Genomic DNA, 22,356 nt, shown 5'->3' with positions numbered 1-22,356 from the left:
ATATAGTAATTATAATTGAATACAATGTTTTATAGTAAAAATCTATTGTTGAGAAGAACGGAATTCTTTTTGGGAGCTCAGGAATAATATTTTGCTGAATGGGAGTTTAAAGCCAGTATCCCGTATAACCAAATGTTCATACAAAATCCATTCTTAGGTTATGGGCTATTGCATATATAACAAATTGTCTTCAGCACTAAGCTGAACCAGGGATGCTTGTTACACAGCAGCAGCTAACAGGAAAGCCTGACCAAGCTCCGTGCCTGGCCCAGAAACTCCCCCACACCCAGCTCCTTCCACACACGCACACAATCACCTAATATTTTCAGGTCAAATATCCTTGACTTCTTTTGTTTTGAGGACTCTCCCTTCCAATCTACCGCAGCGACTCTTTCCTGAGCCCACATACTGGACCTTCTCAATATCCAGACTTGGCCCAGCTCTGAAATCTTAGACCCTGGTGTCCCACCCTGGATGGCCACAGCTTCTGCCTCTCTGTTCCCTGCATTGCTTCAGCTTCTTCCTTTTCTGACTCTTGCTCTGTCCGCTTCAGAGGCTCTTACAGCCCCAGCAACCCATCTGCTGTTGGCTGTACTTTGTAAACCTCTCTTGTTCGCACCTTCCTTTTTCATTTCCACCACCTCTCCCTTGGAACGAGCTTTCCTCATTTCTCCCCAGGGTGATTGCAATAGCATCCCTCTTGGTCTCCATCTCTTGCAGTCCAGCTTTCTAACAGCCGTGAATGTGACCTTCCTAAGGCATAAATGTGGATCACACACACACACACAGCAAAAATGTACAAACACCAGTTGCATCTCGAAGTTCCTTCCTAAGGGGTCCTTCTTAGGAAGCCTTCTCCAATATCACCAAGAGGCACTAGAATCTCCTTGGCAGAGTTGCCAACACGTCCTGATGATATTGATTTGTCCTTGCTGTTTACTTGTGTGTCCCCCTATCACCCAGACTATGAATAACTGAGCACAAAATGATTGCCTCATCCACCGGCAGCCTAGTGCGGCACCCAGCATAGGGTAAAGACTTATCCAAAGGAGCCCACCAGCCACATCCAGCCTGCGCTACTGCCTGCTTTGCACGGCCCGTGAGCTAAGGATGAATTTTGCATGAACATCGGACACTAACTTTAAACTCCCATTCAGCAAAATGTTATTCCTCAGCTCCCAAAAGAATTCCATTCTTCTCAATAGGAGACTTTGACTGTAAAACATCATATTCAATTATAATGACTATATTTTGAATTTTGTCAATAAACATTTGGCGTCAATTTGTTCTACCTCATGTTATATGGGTCTATATATTATGCCTGATTTTGTCTCCTGGCTCTCCGGGTCTAAAATATTACTTGACCCTTTACAAAACAAGTTTGCTGATCGTATTGCAAGATCTACAATCTCAAGTGCTGCCTTGACATCTTGGGGCCTTGCAGGACCTCAAAGGTCTGACCATGGATTCCCCTGCTCTCACCGGAAATGCTCCCCGCATCTAGCAGGAAAGTCCCTCACACATCCACTCAGTCCTCAGCCTAGCAGGCGTCACCTCCCTGCCAGCACGTGACATTATTCAAACAAGCCCATCACATCCTCCCACAGAACCAAGGGTCACCCCATCCTCTAGTTACTACTAAGCCTGCCGCCCATGGCCCCTGTGGGTTGCCTGTGCTCTCCAGTGTAACCCCGAGTGGCACGAGGTGTGCACCTTCTCCAGGCTATGAGTATATGCAATCAACAAACTGCTGCCAGCCTCATCTGTCCAGCGTTGGGCGCTGCAGCTGTCTCATGCTATGTAAGGTAGGGCCTTCATCAGTGTGGTGAATAAGAGGTGATCAGAACACTGACCCCTGGTCTAACTGAATGAATGAGTGAATCTGGCTGATTCCAAAACCTGTTCAATTTCCCTTGGCCATCTTTCCTCCCTGCCCCACCCCCAGCCCAGCCTACAGCCTCCTCATCCTCGTCCTCCCTGAGGCTGGTCCCCTGAGCACACGGCCTCGCCTGTGCGTTCCTCCTGCCTGGCAGAATAAACCACCGCATCCTGCCAGCTCACTCTTAACCTCTTCTTGAAAGCTTGGCTCGGCCCCTCCTTGGCCAGGCCCCTTGATCCAAGAAAAAGAAGTGACTTGTTGAATGTTTTGAGGCTGGAAGACTTCGACGGCGGGTCTGTCTGCTCGCGGCATCAATAGCCGTTATGCTCTTAGAAAAGCCCTGTATGAGAAGGGAGGCTGGGAGATGCTGTTGAAGTCAAGGCTGCCAGCTTCCTTCTTTTGAGAAGCCTGATGGGTTTACATGACACCTGAGAAAATAAAGTAGGCGCTGTGCCGGTGGCCTGTTGATAAAGTAACCCGGAGGCAAAAAAAATCCGTGAGTATGCTTGAATCATGGGGACAGAACATTGGACCCTTTGTGAGTCTTTACAGCCCAGCAGCCAACTCAAAAGCAACAAACAGAAACCTCTCTCCACCTTCACTCAGCCTGAGAAAACCCAGTCAACCGCCGTGTTTATTCTGGAACCCAGGTTGAAGGGACTGTTGTCTGAGACTCTGAGAATGTGGGCGCCAATCAACCATCTCCCAGTCTCCCTGAAAGAGAGACGGCTACTCTGCAGCCAGGAGGGAGCACGGAGTGTTGTGCATTTGTGTCGATAGGGCCAGGGGAGGAGAAAATGATGGGCAGATACCTGAATCACAGGGAGAGCCTGGGCATGCAGGGGCGTGGGAGTGGGTGAAAGCAGGTGCGAGAGGGATGGCGAGAGACATCTCTGTTCTTGCCCGCCAATGCATCTTAGGTGCCAGGCTGTTGTCCATGAGAAGGGTTGACCAGACGGCCCTAGTTTGGGGGTTCCATGGGGAGAGGCCAGGCAGGTATTGGCCACAGGCGGCTTGGGCATGGTAGGCCGGGGGCTAGCACAGAAAGGAGTGAGTGGGGGGAGGGTGGGCTTGATCCCGTGTGGACAGAGGAGTCAAAGGCTGGGCAGAAGACTCTTCCATGGCCACAGAATAGGCAGGCCCCTTTGCAGTGTGGCTTAGTTGCTCCTCCTTCCTAGAGGTGGAGTCTATTCTCTACTTCCTGGAATCTGGGCTGGCTGTGTGACTGGCTTTGACCAATAGGATGCAGTGGAAGTGACATCATCTTAGAGCCCAGGCCTTAAGAGTCTGCAGCTTCCCATCTTCTTGGAATTGCACCCTGAGGCCTCCATGCCAGGAAGTCAGTCCAGCCGACTGGAGGCCGGGAGACCACACTGGGGAGACCAAGGCCGGCACCAGCCACCTATCAGGCCCTCCAGTGCCATCTGTGCTCTCCAGTACAGATGGCCCCTCTCCAGGGGCCATCTCGGATCTTCCAGCCCAGGGATTGTTGGCTGAAGACAGACACTTTAGTGAACCCAAGTGAAACCAGCACAGGAACCTCTGAGCCAACCCACAAAAACACGAGCGATTCATTCTTTGAAATCACTAGGTGTATGGAGCGGCCTGTTACCCAGGTCTAGGTAACTGACACTGGCAGACAGATCATCGGAGAGTGATACATATTTAACCCAATATATCCAAGATAGCGTCTGTTTCAGTAGACAATCCATGTCGAAAAGGCTGATGGGGTATTTTGCTCTTTTTTCATACTAAGTCTGCCAAATCCAGTGTGTCTTTTATACTTTAGCTCATCTCAATTCCAACAGGACACATTTCAAATGCTCAGCTGTCACTTGTGAATAGCAGCTGCTGTCCGGGAAAGACAGTTCTAGGTTGATGCGATCTGGAGGATGACTTGGAAGGACAGATTAGAGACAGGGTGAGGAGGTGGTGAGTTCCGGGAGAGGCTCAGACAGATGATAAGGCCTGAGCTGTGTCCTCTGGAATGGAAAGAAGGTGATGGGTTCCAAGGACATTCTGGAGATGGAAGTCGGTGGTTACAATGCGTAGAATGATGGCCTCCCAAAAATACGTCCACCCAGAAGCTGTGACTGTGATCTTATTTGGGAAAAAGGTCTCTGCTGATGTTATTAAGGATCTCAAGCTGTGACTATCCTGAATGATCTGGGTGGCCCCTAATCCCAGTGACAACTGTCCTTATCAAGAGAGGAGAGAGGCCAGGCACCGTGGCTCATGCCTGGCACTCCCAGCACTTTGGGAGGCCAAGGCAGGAGGTTCTCTTGAGCCCAGGAGTTCGAGACCAGCCTGGGCAATAAAGTGAGACCCCCATCTCTACTAAAAAAAAATTAGCCAGGTGTGGTGGCATACACCTGTAGTCCCAGCTACTTGGAAGGCCGAGGTGGGAGGATCACTAGAGCCTGGGAAGTTAAGGCTGCAGTGAGCCGTGGTTATTCCACTGCACTTCGGTTTGGGTGACAGAGTGAGACCTCATCACAAAAGAAAAAAAAAAAGAAAGAGGAGGAGACACAGAGACACAGAGGAGGAGGCTGTGGGAGGACAGAGGCAAAGACCAGAGCGACGCAGACACAGCCAAGGAAGCTGGAACCTTTAGAAGCTGGAAGGGGCAAAGGAAGGACCCTCCTCCTAAAGCCCCTGGAGGGAGCGCAGCCCTACAGACACCTTGCTTGTGGACCTCCAGCCTCCAGAGCCATGAGAGGATCCGTTTCTGCCACTGTGAACCCCCCATCCTATGGTAATTTGCTACAGCAGCCCCCAGGAAAACGGATGCACTACTGCCCTGATGTGGGTGGTGAGCAGACCCCAGACTTCAGGACACACAAGTGGGCGGACGGTGACACCCTCAGCAGAAATGGGAGCTGGGAGGGCAGAGGAACTGCATGCAGAGGCTGCAGAAATCCAAGGAGCTCACGCTTAGCAAGCACAGAGTATGCAGGCGCTATTCTAAATGCTTTATTTTATTAGCTCCATTCATTTCCTCCATGACCTCATTATGAGTAGGAGATACTCATCTCCATGATACAGAAGAGGAAACTGAGGCACAGAGCGGTACCTGCACAAGACCACACACCTGGTAGATGGAGCCTGGATTTGAGCCCCGGGTGTCTAAGCATTGTAACGCCTCTCCCCGACGTGTGCAACCTCTGGTGCAAGGGCCAGGCTTGGGGACAGACAGGCAGAAAGCAGGCATGAGGGGCCCTGGAGAAGAAGAAGGGACTGGCCGAAGACAAGCAGACCCTGGGACTCCTTTGGGCTGTCCATGGTGAAGGACAGTTTTATCAACATGCACATTAAACTCTTTGAGGTGGATTAACAGTTCACCAATTTCCCTGTGTCCACCTGCTCTAAAGTCACCGCTGAATGCCAAGAAGCACCCCAGGGCAGGGGAGCCTGCGGGATTCCTGGCAGAAATCAACCCAGCAGGACTCATGCGAGCAAGGCTGCATTTTCCATTTCCAAACACAGCCTGCGCCCCCGCTCTGCTCCCTCCAGGAAATCCTGTTTGTGCTATTTTGGGAAAAATGGATGGCTTTTTTTTTTTTTCCTGGGCCTTCCAGGAGCCTGACAGATGGTCCCAGATTTGTGAGCTGTGTTTCCAGGGTGGCACCCAAGGGACTCTCCCAATGATTCTTTCTACAGTGTCAGGCACTGCAAGCCAATTTGTTCCTTCAACAAATATTTATTGAGAGCCTGTGGTATGCGAAGAACTGTGCTAGGTGCTGGGAGATGACTCAGAATAGGTTTATCGACCGTGTCTCATGCCCTGGGGCACATGGGGGCCAGCAAGATCGTAAGGCAGGGCCAGGGCCATCCCCAGGGGGCTTTGGAGCCCTCAGTTGAAACATATTTATGAGCAGCAACTTCCAAGTTACCCCATAATACACGGACACCCCCCAGAATGTTTTCAGACGAGCTAGACCAGGTTAAAAGAAGTAACCGTGGCAGCATTAAAATGGAGAAAAATCACAAAGGAACACAAGAAGGAGGAGAAAGCCGTTTGTCTTCAGGAGAGGAGAGTGATTTATAAAGAGAAACTGCTGGCCTTTCTCAAACCTGCTGGAAACCCAGCTCCTTCCCTTCTCCTGGGAGGAAGAGGAGGAGGAAACCAAACCGGGCAGGCACCAGCCTGGAGTCGGGGACTGCTCTGCAGAGCCCGTGCTGTTTCTGTTCTCAAGGAGACTGTATTCTAAGCAAGGCCCTCAGAAGGTCCAGGGAAACCTGGGAAAAATATTCCATGGCCATTCAGCCAGATTCCGCCATGGTGGCCAGGAGCCATTTGCAGTGTGTCTGCCACCGTTATTACGGCTGCGATGAACACGCAGCAACGAGAGGGCTGGTTTTGGATCTCACAGGTGAATCCCAGCCTCACCTGTCCAGGTGAGTTCCAGGAATAAATACCTTCCCTGGGCCTGTTTTCCCATCTGTAAGTGGGGGTAATCAAGGCACCCCCCTCAGAGGGTCGGGTGGGTTGAATGTGACAATGTGCGTGTCTCTGGCACACATCAAGTTCCCTGCCAGTGTCACACTTGACCAAGCTCAGACTGTAGAAGGGCAGCCTCTTCCTTCCAGTGAATTCCGTCTCCGTTGGATCGGACTCCCTAGATGGAGATAAAACTTCTGAAGCAGGGCGATCTTGGAGTCTAAGGAGAAATGGTCCCTAGGAACGTGGAGAAGGCCGCTGTCTTTATTCAATGTCCAGGCCGACAGGCGTCCTAGCTCGAGTCACCCCGGTATTTTATTTTGGATATGCTCGGGCAGACAAGATCAGGAAGCAGGCCGGGCCTGCCCTCCACTCTCCCCCTCCACCCACCCCCACCTACCCAATCTGGTTCTCAAGGCCGACTTTCCCCACACCAGCCTCAGCGCCAGGCCTGCGCCCAGGGAAGCAGGAGGTTCTCTGTGCCCAAGGTTCTTTTTAAGAAAACTCAGGCCAGGGTGCTGTGGCTCATGTCTGTAATTGCAGCACGTTGGGAGGCTGAGGTGGGCGGAATGCTTGAGCCCAGGAGTTTGAGACCAGCCTGGGCAACATGACAAGACCCTCTTTCTACAAAAAATACAAAAATTAGCCAGGCATGGTGACGCGCGCCTGTAGTCCCAGCTTCTCAGAGGCTGAGTTGGGAGGATCACTTGAGCCAGGGAAGTTGAGGTTGCAGTGAGCTGAGATCGTGCCACTGCACTCCAGCCTGGGTGACAGAGTGAGACCCTGTCTCAGAAAACAAACCAAAAAGAATCCCAAAGGATTTTTAATGTCAGACATTAAATGTATTTTCAAAGTATTTTTCCCAAAAGTACTTTTTAAAGAAAACATTATGCAAATGTTTAGTTAGTAGTACACGTACAACTACACGCGCCACCCAGAGTCAACAATTGTTAACATCTTGCTGTTTATTCTCCCTCCCTCCCTCCCTCTCTGTCTCTGTCTTTCTCTCTAGCCTCTCTAATATCATCTAATACACAGTCCACATTCAAAGTTCTCCAATCTCCCACATATTCTCTTCCCAAAGGATCTCCAAGTTGTGTCAACCCAAGCAGATGTGGGAAGAAGATTTATCAGCCACTGAGGCCAGCTCTGGATCTGATTTTAGCCTGAGTGGCAAAGAACCGTCCAGAAGGATCGACCTCACGAAAAAACTCCAGGCCACACCACGCCACGGTGCCCTGGAGTCTGGGGAGAGGAAGCACCGGGGAGAACTATTTCATCTTTCCTTATAACTTCAGTTTCTGGAAAACCCATATCTTGCACAGGCCTTGGCCCAACCCACTGCCTACGAAACCAGACCCCTGGGTTTCTGTTTTATATTAGGAAGATAGCGTCCACACAAAATGGTACTTTTCTTGCTCTGCCTGTAAGAATCCAAACAAAATTCTTTGGTTATCAACTTTCTTTTCTGTGGCTGAACTCCCTTAATCTGCCACACCCCCTCTCCTCCATGGCTCCCAACGGCTGCTCACACATGCTCACGTGTGCACACGCACACACACTGAATGCTCAGGTCCTTTTGTGCAAGGACAGATGGAAGCTCAGGCTCCCGGATGGTGTCACCCCCTCCTTCTACCTCCTCCCCAACTCTCCCTGCACCATGTTCCCCCTCCCCAGTTTTTGATAAGCCCCCTGGCTTGCTCCCACCTCTAGAAAGGTTGCAGGCAGCCAACCTCTGCTTGTAAACAGGCGGAACTGGCTTGCACAGCCTGGCAGAGGAGGGGCCGCGCCTGAGAAAGAGGAGGAACCTGGTGCTTTCATTGCCGCAGCAGGCTCTCCTCAGCCTCCTGCTCCCACCCGGGGACCCCTGCACACCCCAGCCCACTGAAAACAAGGAGGGAATGTTAAGCCCTTCGGTGCAGCACACGTCCTGTAAAAGGAGAATTTGAACGGCCAATCCCGATGTGTGATGAAGCAGGCTGGGGTCCGGGGAGGGATGGGGGAGAATGGTTCCAGACCTGGGGCAGGGGCAGGGAGGACGAAGGGAAAGAAATTGAGTCTATGTTTTTAAAGGGAATTTGATTCAAAACAGTAGGGTCCCATTTTAAGTCTCAATCTTTTTTCTTTTTTTTTTTTTTGAGATGGAATTTCGCTCTTGTTGACCAGGCTGGAGTGCAATGGCATGATCTCGGCTCACTGCAACCTCTGCCTCCCAGGTTCAAGCGATTCTCCTGCTGCAGCCTCCCGCGTAGCTGGGATTACAGGCATGTGACACCAACCCTGGCTAATTTTTGTATTTTTTTAGGAGAGATGGGGTTTCTCCATGGTGGTCAAGCTGGTCTTGAACTCCTGACCTCAGGTGATCCACCCGCCTCGGCCTCCCAAAGTGCTGGGATTACAGGTGTGAGCACTGCGCCTGGCCTCAATCTTTTTAGAAATTGTCCTAGTCGCGATCTTTGTATAAAGTGGCCTGCAATCAACATGGCAAAGAATAACTCAGGCGTAGGGTACAACCAGTGCCAGCACCTTGGCTCGGTGGGGCTCTGAATAGCCCAGGATGGGCTGTAGGGATGTTACTGAGCTGTTTCCCTCTTATGGAGTGGGTAACACACAGCCCCGCAGAAAGAAGCACAGCATGCAGCCAGGGAATATTCCAGTGCATTCCAGAAGCCATGGCACACACTCTTGACAGGTTTGCCCAAAGGCCGTGGATATCTGTGGGCACCCGTGGTTGGCAAAACTCCACTGCACAGACAGCAATGGGCACCCAACATGGAGGGTGCGGGGAATTCAGAAGTGAAAGAAGCTGCAGAACAGGCTTGCAGAGCACCTACTTGAATCCAGTTTGGGGTCAGAAAAGAGATAAAGCAGTCCTTGCTATTCGCAGGAGTTATGTTTTATGAGGTCCCTGCGAACACTGAATTCACAAATGCTGAACCCTTGCTCTCAGGGAAAATACAGGGTTAGGTTCCTGCAGGCCTCTAGGCACAATATTTCATCCACCGATCAATGCATAACCTTGCTTTATGTGTGTGTTGTTTGAAGACACCTTGTTTAATGTCCAATGTTGCTTCATCCACATGCACATCCCATAGCCAAAGCCTCTCTGACTCAGGCTGAACGAAGTGTCCGTAACACCCGCATCTTCTCTATCAGGCACCCCACAGCTCAGAAACACCAGACCCGCCCTTCACCGCTCCACAAGGATGTTGTCGCAAACAGCAAAACCAACAAGAAGCACACAAGTGCAAAAAGCATGACACCAAACAGACTGAAAAGGGCACTTGTCAGGGGTGTGTGAGCTGACGCCAGGAGGCAGAGCACTGCCCTGTGCAACCTCAGCTGAGAGCATGTGTGTCGGGAGACACGTTGCTCGCTACTCGGCACGCATCAAGTGACGGCCAAGGTGTCGTGAGTACTGGATTTGGAGTTATAGATGCATTTCGGTGAGCAGGCAAATTCGCAAACACAGCAACCACGAATAGTGAGGACCGGCTGTACTGGAACTAGCTGCAGAATAGGGGTGAGGGCTGGAACTCCACCACTGCCCACGTCCAGCTTCATGGGGTACGAGTCAGGGTCACCAGAAAGGAGAGGGGCCAAGAGTCCCTCAATGGACAGGGCTGGGGCCCCTCTGCAAAATTCTGCTCAGCCCATAGGAGTCAGGGGCCTGAAAAGAAACACTTTCCTTTTTTTTTGAGACTGAGTCTCCCTCTGTCACCCAGGCTGGAGTGCAGTGGCACAATCTCGGCTCACTGCAAGCTCCGCCTCCTGGGTTCAAGCGATTCTCCTGCCTCAGCCTCCTCAAGTAGCTGGGACTACAGGCACCCACCATCACGCCCGGCTAATTTTTTGTATTTTTAGTAGAGACGGGGTTTTACCGTGTTAGCCAGGATGGTCTCCATCTCCTGACCTCGTGATCTGCCCTCCTCGGCCTCCCACAGTGCTGGGATTACAGGCGTGAGCCAACGCGCCCAGCCCAAGAAACACTTTCTACAGGTCACTCAGCCACTTTCTGGGCTATCTGATGCAAACTAAGCCACGGCCGTGAGCATGAGTTCAAGCAGCAGACAGGCCCAAGCTTGCTTGGCGAGCCTCGCTACCCATCGAGCCTCTGTTTCCTCATCTTGAAAATGGGTGTAGCATTGCAGAGTGGCTGGTAGCACAAGCACGGAGCTTGCTAAGTAACCGCTCCTGCTATGATTGTTACTATTATTCCTACCAGGCGGCTGTTATTTATTGTTATTGTTTATTACGATGATCACCATTATTTGCTACCCAGCGTGGCATCTGACCACTAACCCATCTTTGGTGGCCAGAGTAGATCCAGGTTTTGGGGCATCTGAAGCTTACGCAGTTTCAGGGGAGTTCTTTAAAAGAAAAAAAAAAGTACAAAATTACAAGTGCAAAATTAGATCCAGGGCCTTGGAGGTGGCTATTCGGGTGAGGACGCTGAAGCTTCAGTTCCTGGCCTTTGAAGTAAACCACCTCTGTTTAGATTTTGTTCTGATAAACTCAGTCCTCAGGCATATGTTTCTCCTTAAATAATCAACTAAAATAATTGAATGTGTGTTTTTTGTTCCCTACTCTGTGCAAAGCACAGCAGTGATAAGACAGAGTCTCTGCCCTCATGGAAGGGAAGTGGCCTCTTCTTCAGGGTTAGGGATGGGGTAGGGAGATACAGGAAATAATATGCAAACCAACAAATAAGGTAAAAGGCTGCAGGGAGAGAACAAGCTGGAAGGGGTCTGCCAGTGGTAGAGAACTCAGGGAAGGTTCAAAGCTGAGATTTTAAGGATAAGAAAGAGCAAGCCCTGTAGAGCCCTGGGGGTGGATCTTCCAGACAAAGAGACCAGGAAGTGAAGGGACAAGCATGGTGTATTCAAGGAACAGCAAGGCCAGTGGGTCCAGAGAGAGGGATGCTAGATTAACTTGAAGAGGTAGGCAGGGGAAGATCAGGAGGGTCCTGGGGAACCTGAGAATGGCGTTTGGATTTGATACTAAGAGCAAAAGAAAGCCGGGGGAGGGGCGGGGGTGGGGCTGTGTTTAAACAGGGGTTGATGTGATTTATGTTTCTGAAAGATCATTCCGGCTACTGTGTGTAGAATGAATTATGGGAGAGAGGATGCAAAGACGAACTGCAGCGAGAAGGCCCCTGAGTGCCGTCTCTTGGGGTCAGCCGCTTGTGGGGTCTGATTGGGCAGGGTGGGGACTCAGAAGTAGAGCGATTCTAAGGGGCACCCCCTCCCCACACTGCCACCCTCTTCCAGCAGCTCATGGCCCATGAGGGTAAGCAGCTGAAACTGCTTTGTACTACTAGAAACAGAATAAAGAAGGAACAAAAGCAACTTGGCCAACTGGGACCCAGTGGGGCTTACATAGCTGGGCCTGCGGAAAGCAAAAACACAGCAACTGCAAAGAGCCGGCCTCGGTGCTCCCTCCCCAGGGCGAGGGCTTCCCGAGGGTCCTTTAGGACCCAGCCTGTCGACGGGTTTTTGGCAGTTGGCAGGGCACGGTCAAAAGGACTCTAGTCTCATGTATCCAGAGTTAGGCAGCGGGGAGGGGTTTGCTGCAATGTGTTTTTGCTTTTGTTTACCCAGGAGGCCTTGCAAGAGGCCCAGGGTTGTGGAATTAATTACAGCCAATTACCTTCCATGTACTAGTTGGGTTTCAGCTTGCTGAAAGCCTCTAGAGGTGGGAGAATTCACAGATGAGCGGCCCAAAAAGGCCTCCTTCCATCCTTCTCACCACCCAGCCTCCTATGAGTTTGCCTTTCACCTCAACATTCTCATTTAAATAAATATGGCCTCCTTATGTCGCCGTTTAAAAATTCTCCAAGTAAGGATTTTTGCAATTAATGTAAAATACATTTCAGAGCCACTTAAGTTTAAATGTTGCCTGTATCCACCTCCCTATATCTGTGCTTATAAACAAATGATAGAAGATGCCCCTAAAAAATGATCCAAATCTCAAAAAATATATAAAATGTGTCATAACCACCAAATAGCAAAGCAATCATAGTAGAAAACACTCTCATCTGTAAATAATAATAAGCCCATCTTCTTTTCAATCACTTTATCCTCTTTCTAATATCCATGTCTTTTTTTTTTTTTTTTTGAGATGGAGTCTAGCTCTGTTGCCCAGGCTGCAGTGCAGTGGCACAATCTCGGCTCACTGCAACCTCTGCCTCCCGGGTTCAAGCTGAGGTTCTCCTGCTTCAGCCTCCTGAGTAGCTGGGATTACAGGCGTCCACCACCACGCCCAGCTAATTTTTGTATTTTTAGTAGAGACGGGGTTTCACTATGTTGGCCAGGCTGGTCTCAAACTCCTGACCTCATGATCTGCCCACCTCGGCCTCCCAAAGTGCTGGGATTACAAGCGTGAGCCACCGCGCCTGGCCTCTAATATCCATGTCTTATTACATTGGCTTATGTGGCTTAACCAGAACAACATTCAGCAATGCAGTGATAACAGGCACTCTTGTCTTGTTTCTAATTTTTAATGGGAATGTCTCCATGGCTTCATCATTTAATATGATGCTGACCGCTACTCTTACAATAAATTGTCATATAAATAAAAAATATTAGGCCGGGTGCAGTGGTGCATGACTGTAATCCCAGCACTTTTGAGAGGCCAAGGTGGGTAGATCACTTGAGGTTAGGAGTTCAAGACAAGCCTGGCCAACACAGCGAAACCCGGTCTCTACTAAAAAAATAAAAATTAGCCGGGTGTGGTGGCGGGCGCCTGTAGTCCCAGCTACTCGGGAGGCTGAGGCAGGAGAATCGCTTGAACTCAGGAGATGGAGGTTGCAGTGAGCCGAGATCACACCACTGCACTCCAGCCTGGGCAACAGAGTGAGACTCTATCTCAAAAAGAAAAAAAAAGAAAAAAGAAAAAATAGTTTCTAAGTTTTATCACTGTTATTTTTAAATTTTTTAATATAAAGGGAGGATAAAAACAGATCTACTGAGAAATTACTCAGAAATTCTTTCCCAGTCCCCAGATACCCAGTTCACCTTCTCACCTGCAATCTCTGTTCTCGCTTAAACGACAGCAATTTACTTCTCCCAGTTCTGGAGGCTGGAAGTCCACAATCAAGATGGCACCAGGTCTGGTTTCTCTTGAGGCTGCTCTCCTTGGCTTGCAGATGGGGGCCTTCTCACAGGGTCCTCACGTGGCCTTTCCTAGGTGCACACACATCCCTGGTCTCTCTCTCTCGCCTAATAAGAACATCAGCTGTACTGGGTTAGGGACCCTCTCTTACAACCTGATTTACCCTTAATTACTTCCTCAAAGGTTCTACCTCCAAATACAGTCCCATGACGGGTTAGGGCGTCAACATATGAATTTGGAGGAGGGACACAATTCAGTCTGTAATAATTCACCCTCTGGTCCCCCAAATTCATATCCTTCTCACATGCAAATTACATTCAATTCCAATAGCCCCAAAAGTCTTAACGCATTCCAGCGTCAACTCTAGGTGCAGTCTCGTCTGAATATCTAAATTAGGTATGGGTGAGGCTTAACACATGATTCATCCTGAGGCAAAATTCCTCTCCGGCTGTGAACCCGTGAAACCAGACAAGTTATGTGCTTCCAAGACACAGTGGTGGGACCAACATGGGATAGACATTCCCATTCCAAAAAGGAGACATCGGAAAGAAGAAAGGGGTGATAGGTCCCAAGCAAGTCCAAAATCTAGCGAGGCAAATTCCATTTGCTCTTAAGCCTCAAGAATAATCCTCTTCAGCTCAGCATCCTGCTTTCCAGGCCCACTGGGGCAGTAGCCTGTAGTCCGGGCGCCATGGCCCGAGGCAGTGGCCCCACCCCCAAGGCTCTGAGCAACAGTCTGACCCTTTGAAACTAAGAAGGACACAGCTTTGTTCCCTTGTCTGTGGTGGCAGTGCCAGCCCTGCCAACCTCTGAGTTGCCTCCAGCGTCCTCCTCTTTTCTTAAAGGATAGTGCATGTTCACAGATGAATAACTCTACTGTCCTGTCAAATTCCAGGACATCCATCTCCACGGGACACTATGTCCTGTCTCTGTCCCCATTGGTCCAGGCCTGGCAGTGTCTCTGCTGGTATAATCCCATCTCTATGGCTAACTTCTGCTGAAATGACTGATTAAATCCACACATCGCACCCACAATATCTGTATAAAATGAATTTCCAGCCACACCCTTGCTGTTCTCTCCAGAACCTGCTTCCTCACTTTTTGAAATATAAATAGGCTGAGAATTTTCCAAATCTTCAAGGTCTAGTTCCTTCTTGCTTAAAATTCCTTCAGTTTATATTTCTCTGTTCTCTCACATTTTGCAATAAGCATTAAGGAGAAACTAGGCCACACCTTCAACACTTTGCTTAGAAATTTCTACAGCTAAGGCTGGGTGCAGTGGCTCACACCTGTAATCCCAGCACTTTGGGAGGCCGAGGCAGGTGGATCACGAGGTCAGGAGTTTGAGACCAGCCTGGCCAACATGGTGAAACCCCGTCTCTACTGAAGATCCAAAAAGTAGCCGGGCATGGTGGCACGTGCCTGTAATCCCAGCTACTCCAGAGGCTAAGGCAGAAGAATCTCTTGAACACAGGAGGCAGAGGTTGCAGTGAGCCGAGATCACACCATTGCACTCCAGCCTGGGTGACAGGGTGAGACTCCACCTCAAAAAAAAAAAAAAAAAGAAATTTCTTATCCAAGTTCATCATGTTTAACTTCTCCTTTCTCCACAAACACCAGAATACAATCCAGCCACGTTCTTTTCCACTTTATAACAAGGGTCACCTTTCTTCCAGTTCCAATAACATGTTCCTCCTTCCCATCGGAGCCCTCACCAGAATCACCTTTCACATCCATGCTTCTACCAACAGTCTCTTCAAGGCAATCCAGGCTTTTTCTAACATGCACCTCAAAAATCTTCCTCCTCCACCTTTTACTCAATTCCAAAGCCACATCCACACTTTTAGGTATTTGTTAACAGCAGCACCCCACTTCTTGGTATCAAAATCTGTGTTTGTCAGGGCTGCCATTACAATATACCACAGAATGCGTGCCTTAAACAATAGAAATTAATTTTATCACAGTTCTAGAAGCTGGAAGTCTAGGATCAAGGCGTTGGCAGTTGGGTGTTCCCCAAGACCTCTCTCCTTGCCTTGCAGATGACCACCTTCTTGCTGGGCCCTCACACAGCCTTTTCTTCTGTGTGCACACATCCCTGGTGCCTCTTCTTGTGAGGACACCAGCCATACTGGATCCGGGACCCACCTCATGACCTTATCTAGCCTCAGTTACCTCCTTAAAAGCCTTATCTCCAAATATAGTCACATTGGGGTTAGGGCTTTAACATATGAATTCGAGGGGGACACTATTCAGTCCTTAACAACAAGCAAAGAGATGGATAGATGATTGATAGATGCATAGATAGACAGATGGATAAGATAGATAGATAGATAGATAGATAGATAGATAGATAGATAGATAGATAGATAATAGAAAGTCAAAAAATCAATCAGGGCCAAGCTCAGTGGCTCACGCCTGTAATCCCAGCACTTTGGGAGGCCAAGGTGAGTGGGTCACTTCAGGCCAGGAGTTCAAGACCAGCCTGGCCAACATGGTGAAACCCTGTCTCTACAAAAATACATTAGCTGGGCATGATGGCACACACCTTAGTCCCAGCTACTCAGGAGGCTGAGGCACAAGAATCGCTTGAACTTGGAAGGTGGAGGTTGCAGTGAGCCGAGATCGCGCCACTGCACTTCAGCTGGGGGTGACAGAGCAAGACTCTGTCTCAAAAAAATAAAAAAGAAAAAAATTAATCAATAGATAAGTAGATAATAGATTGATAGATAATTGATAGATAATTGATCGATAAATAGATATATTGATTGATTCCTCCTTTCTTCACAAATGGCAGTATGCTATTCACATCTTGCCTTTTATGTTTAACACTCCATCTTGGAGATGTTTCTATGCCAGGATATTAAATGTTGTCTAGTTTTTGATGGATCATAATTTATGAATGGACTTCAGGTTGTTTCCAATATTCTGCTATTAGGAGTAAGCTTCACTATGTAACCTTGTCCAAGTGTTATTTCACACCTGTGCATATCACTGTAGGATAAATTCCTAGAAGGGGTGTGTGCATTTGTTATGTTAACAAATTGCCCCCAGGTGCGGTTGAAGCCCTGACGTTCCTACCAGCAATGGGCCAGCATCCTTGGTGCCCCAGCTTAGGACCCACAGCATTCTCTCTAACTTGCACATTTACCAGCTTGACAGGCAGTGGAAATGGTAACAGGGTCTAGTTTCGATCTTCAATTCTATTAGGAGGAAGGCCAGGGATCTGCTGATAAACGTAAGGGCCATTTGAACAGTATTTTCCTGTGAATTCTGTCCATATCCTTTGCCTTTCTGCCCAGTGTGTTACTGTCTTCACACGGATTCGTCCGAGTGTGACCCACAGCCAGGCATTATTTTCAGTTTGCAGACCCACATTCCTTTCGCAGCTTCTATCGTGCCTGTCTGGGTTTGTTCTGGTTTCTTCTTCAGGATGTCGCCCATTGTTTGGTTCCCATTTTTCTCATTCTTGTCTTATCACCATCTCTTTTTGTTTTCTCTCCTTCTGCATTCTAGGAGAGCTGCTTAAACTTATCCTAGATAGGGTATTTTCTCTATTCTTTCTTTTCTTTTCTTTTCTTTTCTTTTTTTTTTTTTTTAGAAACGGGCTCCCTCTGTCATCCAGGCTGGAGTACAATGTCACAATCATAGAGCATTGCAGCCTCAAACTCCTAGGCTGAAGTGATCCTCCTGCCTTGACCTCCGACATAGCTGGGACTACAGGCTACAGGCAGGCATGTGGCACTTTTTATTTTTTAGGGACTCGAGTCTCGCTATGCCACTCAGGCTGGTCTCGAACTCCTGGGTTCAAGTGATCCTCCTGCCACAGCCTCCTGAGAAACGAACTACAGGCATGCACCACCACACCCAGCTGGTAGATAGGGTATTTTTAGCTACGTACAGCAGGACACCCTCCTGCAAGTGACTAAAACAGTAGGAATATTCATTGTGTCTCATAACAAGGGGGGCAGAGGTAGAAAACTCCAGGACTGGCTAACTCAGTAACATCATAGCTTAAATCCAGGTTCCTTCCCTCTTTCTTCTCTGCCGTCTTTGGTGGATAGAGGGAGGACATAGTTACAGGCATTGTGTGCAGGTAAGATAATGTCTCAGAAAAAAACCACTTCCTCCACGTGCTTCCTCCTCCTGGTGAGGAGACCCTTCTCCACATGTCCTCCTGCAGAGGCCACCTCATGAGTCCTGGGCTGGCTGGGCATCCTATGACCAGGCCTAAGAGGGTCATTGCTGAAGGCGAATGAGAGCATCGTGGTTGACTTAAGCAACAGAGATTCACATCCTGGGGCCAAAGAGGGGCCAGCGCCCGCCCCCTAGAAGGGCTCAGGACTCTGAGGAAGATAAGGATTCCGTTAGCCTGGAAAATGTTGAGGTGGGAACATGGCTCTTGTTTGGCAAACAATAGTTCCCCCTCATTTCTGGACATCATTGATTCAATTTTCTACTGTTTCACTTGTTTCTGCTGCGAATGCCGCCGTCCGTTTTTCAGGTGTATTTCCTCAGGGCCTTCCTAGACACACGGAGCTCCCTGGCTGTTTCTGCCTTCATCTTTGCCATGTCTCCTTTTCATTGCAATCCTGTGTCTTTGCATCTAAGTTTATCTCATTTTAAGGTCACATGTCCTTGAATTTTATTGTGAACACAAGACAGCTTTCTGTAATTTACTTCCATTTCTGGTAGAAAATCTTTTGCAAAAGTATGTTTTTCCTCTTGGGGGCAAAGTTCGCTGTCTTTCCTACTGCAGGATCATTTCCTGCAATCATAGGGCTTTTCATTTTCTGATGCTCTGCCTTGGAGGGATGCTGGCTCTCGGGTGCCCTTCCGCATCCACCTGGTTGCTATTAGAACCCTCCGTTCTGATCTCCACGCCAAAGCCTTGGCTGTGAAGACCCAACCTCGAGCCAAGTTCCCAGCGTCTGGCAGGCATTTTTCTGGAGGGGCTCTGCTGGCTCAGGAGGCATCTTCCACTTCTGCTGCCTGATTGCCTGACGATCCAAAAGGAAATTTATTCATAGATAATTTGAAACAGTCTGAAAGTCCTTCCAATGCCAGAGAGAGTGCATAAGAATCAGCAAGCCCCCGAGGGTAGCGCTCCCACAGCTACCCTGTCTTCACCCTTCCTGTCTTCCAGCTTGACATCCCACAAAGCAATGACCGATGACCACCACCCATCCATGACCACCTCGGCCCAGGTTCATTGCTGGGGATTATTAGAGTCCCCGACTGTCTATGGAAAGGGAGGTATGAATGGAGGGATGAGGTGGGAGATGTCCGTGGCTGTCCCCAGAACACAGCCCCTGCGAAGCTGGAGGTGCTGCCCTCTCCATGGTCAGAAACAGCCCGTGGTGTTGAGCCAAGCGTTTGCAGCCAGTGGAAGCCGCTTCCTGCCTTTCCACTTGGCCTGCCATTTTGCCTGGTGGTGCCATTTAGGGCTTGCCTCTTGGAGTGTTATGGCAGAGGCCAGTATTCCCAGTGGTCACAATGATTGCAGTTCCCTCCAATCCTGCAGGAGCGGGGAAGGGCAAAGCTGATTCCCTAGATGCTCTGTGTGTTTTCATTTTTGTTTCTTAAGAGTTCATTGAAGCTTTTTTTCCCCTTTTGTTTGTTTGTTTTGCTAACATGCTGAGAGAAGAGAGAAAAATAAATCATCAAGACCTTTGTTTTTCTCCATATGAATCTCCAGCTGGTTCCTATTCTGAGATCCTGTTCCTGTCATCATCACCAACTTCTGATGATTCCACAGGCAAAGCGGGTGGTGTTTTTTTCCATTAAAAAAAAAAATAACTCTCTCAAACAGAAGCCCTGAAACTGCTCCCTTCCCTCGGACACCCACAGGCCATCTGAAATACTTGCCATTTGCACAATATCCCAAGGGTGGCCCTCGGATGGCTCTCATTGTCACCAGAAGGACAGCACGCCCGTGTCCCAGCAGCTTGGTGGCAGCTGGAAGTATCTCCTTCGGTCTGTACTTCTTGGCAGTGCCCTTCTCAGCCTGCACCATCTGTGCTCAGCCCAGCCTCATTTCTGGGTAGGGTGGGTTCCCTTTTCTCTTTCCCGTCTCTGTTGGAGGATTTTCCACGGCTGTGCAGTCAGGGTGGGCCCACCGGTCATGAAATCATTGCCGCTGACCTTGCAGGAAAGGTCTTCCACTGGGGCTGACCATTCTTACACATCCTCCTCTGGAACTGGCTGAAGTGGCTGCCTCCAAGCTGGCCGGGTGGCCACGTTTTCCTCTACTGAGTCACCCCCCAGCCCAGGATGCCCCGTAAATGGGCTCTCTGCAAAACGAAGCTGTTGGTTTTGTGCCAAGATGCACAGCATCAGAGGTCAAGGTCAGTTGCACATAGGACAACCATGAAGTCTGTGCTTGCTAGTACTCCGCGGGTAGCTCACACGCCAGGGGACGTGATCAGTGTGTATTATTCTCAAATGGATGGTGACCATTGTGGTTGATCATTAAAAGCTGTAGGCTTCATTTTTTTCCCAAGAAAAACAAATGCTTTTAAAGAGAATGTAGAACATATGTACATCCTGAAAGCTTTTGGAAATGAATACTTTTCTTTTTCTTCAATAATGGGCTATTATACTTGATTTTCCAAAGATCACTACCTTATTTTCTTGAATATCCTTATGAGGTCAGAGAGACCATTTTTTTTCTCATTTTACTGATGAAATGAGGAAACGGAGGCCTAGAGAGATTAATGGCCCTGAAGCCAATATGGGAACACACATTCTCAATATGTCTAACAGGACCTGTTTCCTGTACCACCATAGCTCAACTCTCATGAGACTCTACTGAGTAAATATCTCCCAACAGGAGGGAAAGAAACTAGCACTCACCGATCACCCTCTATGTCCTAGAAACTCCCATAAGCACTTTTTCTCGACTGTTTGCATTTTCAATAATTTAGCACTCAGATCAGAGAGGTTAAGTAACTGGCCCAAAGTCACCCAGCTAGTAAGGAACGGGGCTGGGATTTGAATGCAGGGGTGTTTGACGCCGAAGCCAGAGCTTTGTCCCCGAGCCTTCTGAGCTCAGCAAGCAGGGTAGATTTGGGAGAAAGGAGATGAAGGAAGTGAACAGATGACTAGGCAGATCAAATAAACCAATCGCCAAGATTCAGATCTTTGCCTGGAGTTAGACCATCGTGTCTGCCATTGAGCAACCTGAAAATTCTCCACCTGGCTTCCCACAGCACTTTTGAAACTGGCCCCACAAGTCCACCAAATCTATCAGCACCAGGCATGGTTCTGCAAAGGTGCCCACCCCACCAGGTGCAAAGGGAGGTAGACAATCTTTGGGCTTTCCTTTCTGATTAACTGGTCCTTAGGGGGTTCATTTGCTTGTTTTTGTTGCTTTTTTTTTTAACTAGAATCTAAAAGGTTGATTATTTCAGGCTTTCATTATGAAGTGTGCAATATCACCCCAGTCTTCATATCTTCATACGCCAATACTAAGGTTCTCTGATGGCGATAGCATGATCATAGGACACAGGCGAGGCGCTTTCTTTTTTTTCTTTTTTTCTTTATTTCTTTTTTTTTTTTTTTTTTTGAGACAGGGTCTCACTGTCACCTAGGCTGAAGTGCAGTGGTGGGATCTTGGCTCACTGCAACCTCCGCCTCCTTGGGCTTAAGAGATCCTCCCACTTCAGCTTCCCAAGTAGCTGGGATTACAGGTATGCACTACCATACCCAGCTAATTTTTGTATTTTCAGTACAGATGGGGTTTCACCATGTTGGCCAGGCTGGTCTCAAACTCCTGAGCTCAGGTGATCCGTCTGCATGGGTCTCCCAAAGTGCTGGGATGACAGGCGCTTTATTGGATTCACGTTCACCTCCATTAATTCACATGAGAACCCCAGGGACAGCTTCTCATCCACATCTTAGAGATGGAGACTCTGAAGCCCGAAGGCATTCTGGTGACTCAGGTTGAGGTTCAACTCTTAGTCTCTTGACAGTGAAATTCCCCGGTGGGGCCTCCTCCCACAGGAAATGCCACCACCATCTGGGCATGCCCCCACCTCACTTTGCCCCGCAAATATTTCAGAAGTGTCCTCAAGTATCACCTCTGTACCACCAGATCACACTTACTCGCTGTGGAAGAGAGGTTGTGAGCTGGAATCCATGGCAGGGGAAGACTTCCTCTCCCAACACTGACAGGCAATTGTTGGGATGTCCTGGCATTTGGGGTGGTGAGCCTGAGCCTGGAGGGACAGGCTGAATAACGGCCCCCAAAGATGTCCCCAGAATTTGCAAACATTTGACCTCACATGGTTAAAGGGACTCTGCAGATGTGGTCACGTGAAGGATCTTGAGGTGGGGGATGGTAGTGGGTTATCCGAGTCAGCCCAATGTAGTCCCAGGGCCTTTATAAGAGGGAGGCCAGGGGGTCGGACTCAGAGAAGGAGATGTGACCACAGAAACCCAAGTCAGAGTGATGTGGCTGGAAGCCAAGGAATGTGGCAATCTCTAGAAGCTGGAAGAGGCAAGGAATGAATTCTTTCCCAGAAGCCAGATGTAGTGGCTCATGCCTGTAATCCCAGCACTTTGGGAGGCCAAGGCGGGTGGATTGCTTGAGCTCAGGAGTTCGAGACCAGCCTGGGCAAAATGGTGAAACAACATCTCTACTAAAAGTACAAAAAAAAATAGCCAGGTGTGGTAGCTCATACCTGTAGTCCCAGCTACTTAGGAGGCTAAGGTGGGAGGATGGCTTGAGCCTGGGAGGCGGAAGTTGCAGTGAGCCAAGATCGTGCCATTGCACTCCAGCCTGGGCAACAAAGCCAGACCCTGTCTCAAACAACAACAAATTCTCTCCTAGAGCCTCCAGAAGGAGCAGCCCTGCTAACGCCTTGATTTCAACCCCATAATACCCATTTTGGACTTCTGCCCTCCGGAACTTGGGATAAGGTGA

At 49.0% G+C, this 22,356-nt stretch overlaps 1 protein-coding gene across 2 annotated transcripts in view, besides 5 other annotated features; it reads right to left on the bottom strand.

The window, feature by feature from the left end:
* The window catches only part of ZNF664-RFLNA (ZNF664-RFLNA readthrough), a 342,810-nt gene that overhangs the window by 121,746 nt on the left and 198,708 nt on the right, over window positions 1–22,356 (bottom strand). The window lies entirely within an intron of this gene.
* Window positions 3,602–3,896: a silencer, noted in NCBI's record as "tiled region #13038; HepG2 Repressive non-DNase unmatched - State 21:Repr, and K562 Repressive DNase matched - State 8:EnhW". NCBI's record gives its function as "represses a minimal TATA promoter and a strong SV40 promoter by Sharpr-MPRA in HepG2 and K562 cells {active_cell/tissue: HepG2 | K562}" and the evidence as "EXISTENCE:reporter gene assay evidence [ECO:0000049][PMID:27701403]".
* Window positions 5,121–5,641: an enhancer, noted in NCBI's record as "H3K27ac-H3K4me1 hESC enhancer chr12:124673184-124673704 (GRCh37/hg19 assembly coordinates)". NCBI's record gives its function as "activates a minimal SCP1, AML or CMV promoter by ChIP-STARR-seq in primed H9 embryonic stem cells {active_cell/tissue: H9 hESC(primed)}" and the evidence as "EXISTENCE:reporter gene assay evidence [ECO:0000049][PMID:30033119]".
* Window positions 5,642–6,161: an enhancer, noted in NCBI's record as "H3K27ac-H3K4me1 hESC enhancer chr12:124672664-124673183 (GRCh37/hg19 assembly coordinates)". NCBI's record gives its function as "activates a minimal SCP1, AML or CMV promoter by ChIP-STARR-seq in primed H9 embryonic stem cells {active_cell/tissue: H9 hESC(primed)}" and the evidence as "EXISTENCE:reporter gene assay evidence [ECO:0000049][PMID:30033119]".
* Window positions 6,162–6,682: an enhancer, noted in NCBI's record as "H3K27ac-H3K4me1 hESC enhancer chr12:124672143-124672663 (GRCh37/hg19 assembly coordinates)". NCBI's record gives its function as "activates a minimal SCP1, AML or CMV promoter by ChIP-STARR-seq in primed H9 embryonic stem cells {active_cell/tissue: H9 hESC(primed)}" and the evidence as "EXISTENCE:reporter gene assay evidence [ECO:0000049][PMID:30033119]".
* Window positions 11,757–12,262: an enhancer, noted in NCBI's record as "H3K4me1 hESC enhancer chr12:124666563-124667068 (GRCh37/hg19 assembly coordinates)". NCBI's record gives its function as "activates a minimal SCP1, AML or CMV promoter by ChIP-STARR-seq in primed H9 embryonic stem cells {active_cell/tissue: H9 hESC(primed)}" and the evidence as "EXISTENCE:reporter gene assay evidence [ECO:0000049][PMID:30033119]".

The sequence above is a fragment of the Homo sapiens genome, chromosome 12 (genome assembly GCF_000001405.40).
Source record: "Homo sapiens chromosome 12, GRCh38.p14 Primary Assembly".
Taxonomy (NCBI): Eukaryota; Metazoa; Chordata; class Mammalia; order Primates; family Hominidae; genus Homo; species Homo sapiens.
The sequence above is the reverse complement of the archived record's forward strand: the minus strand, read 5'-3'. Positions and strand labels throughout refer to the sequence as shown.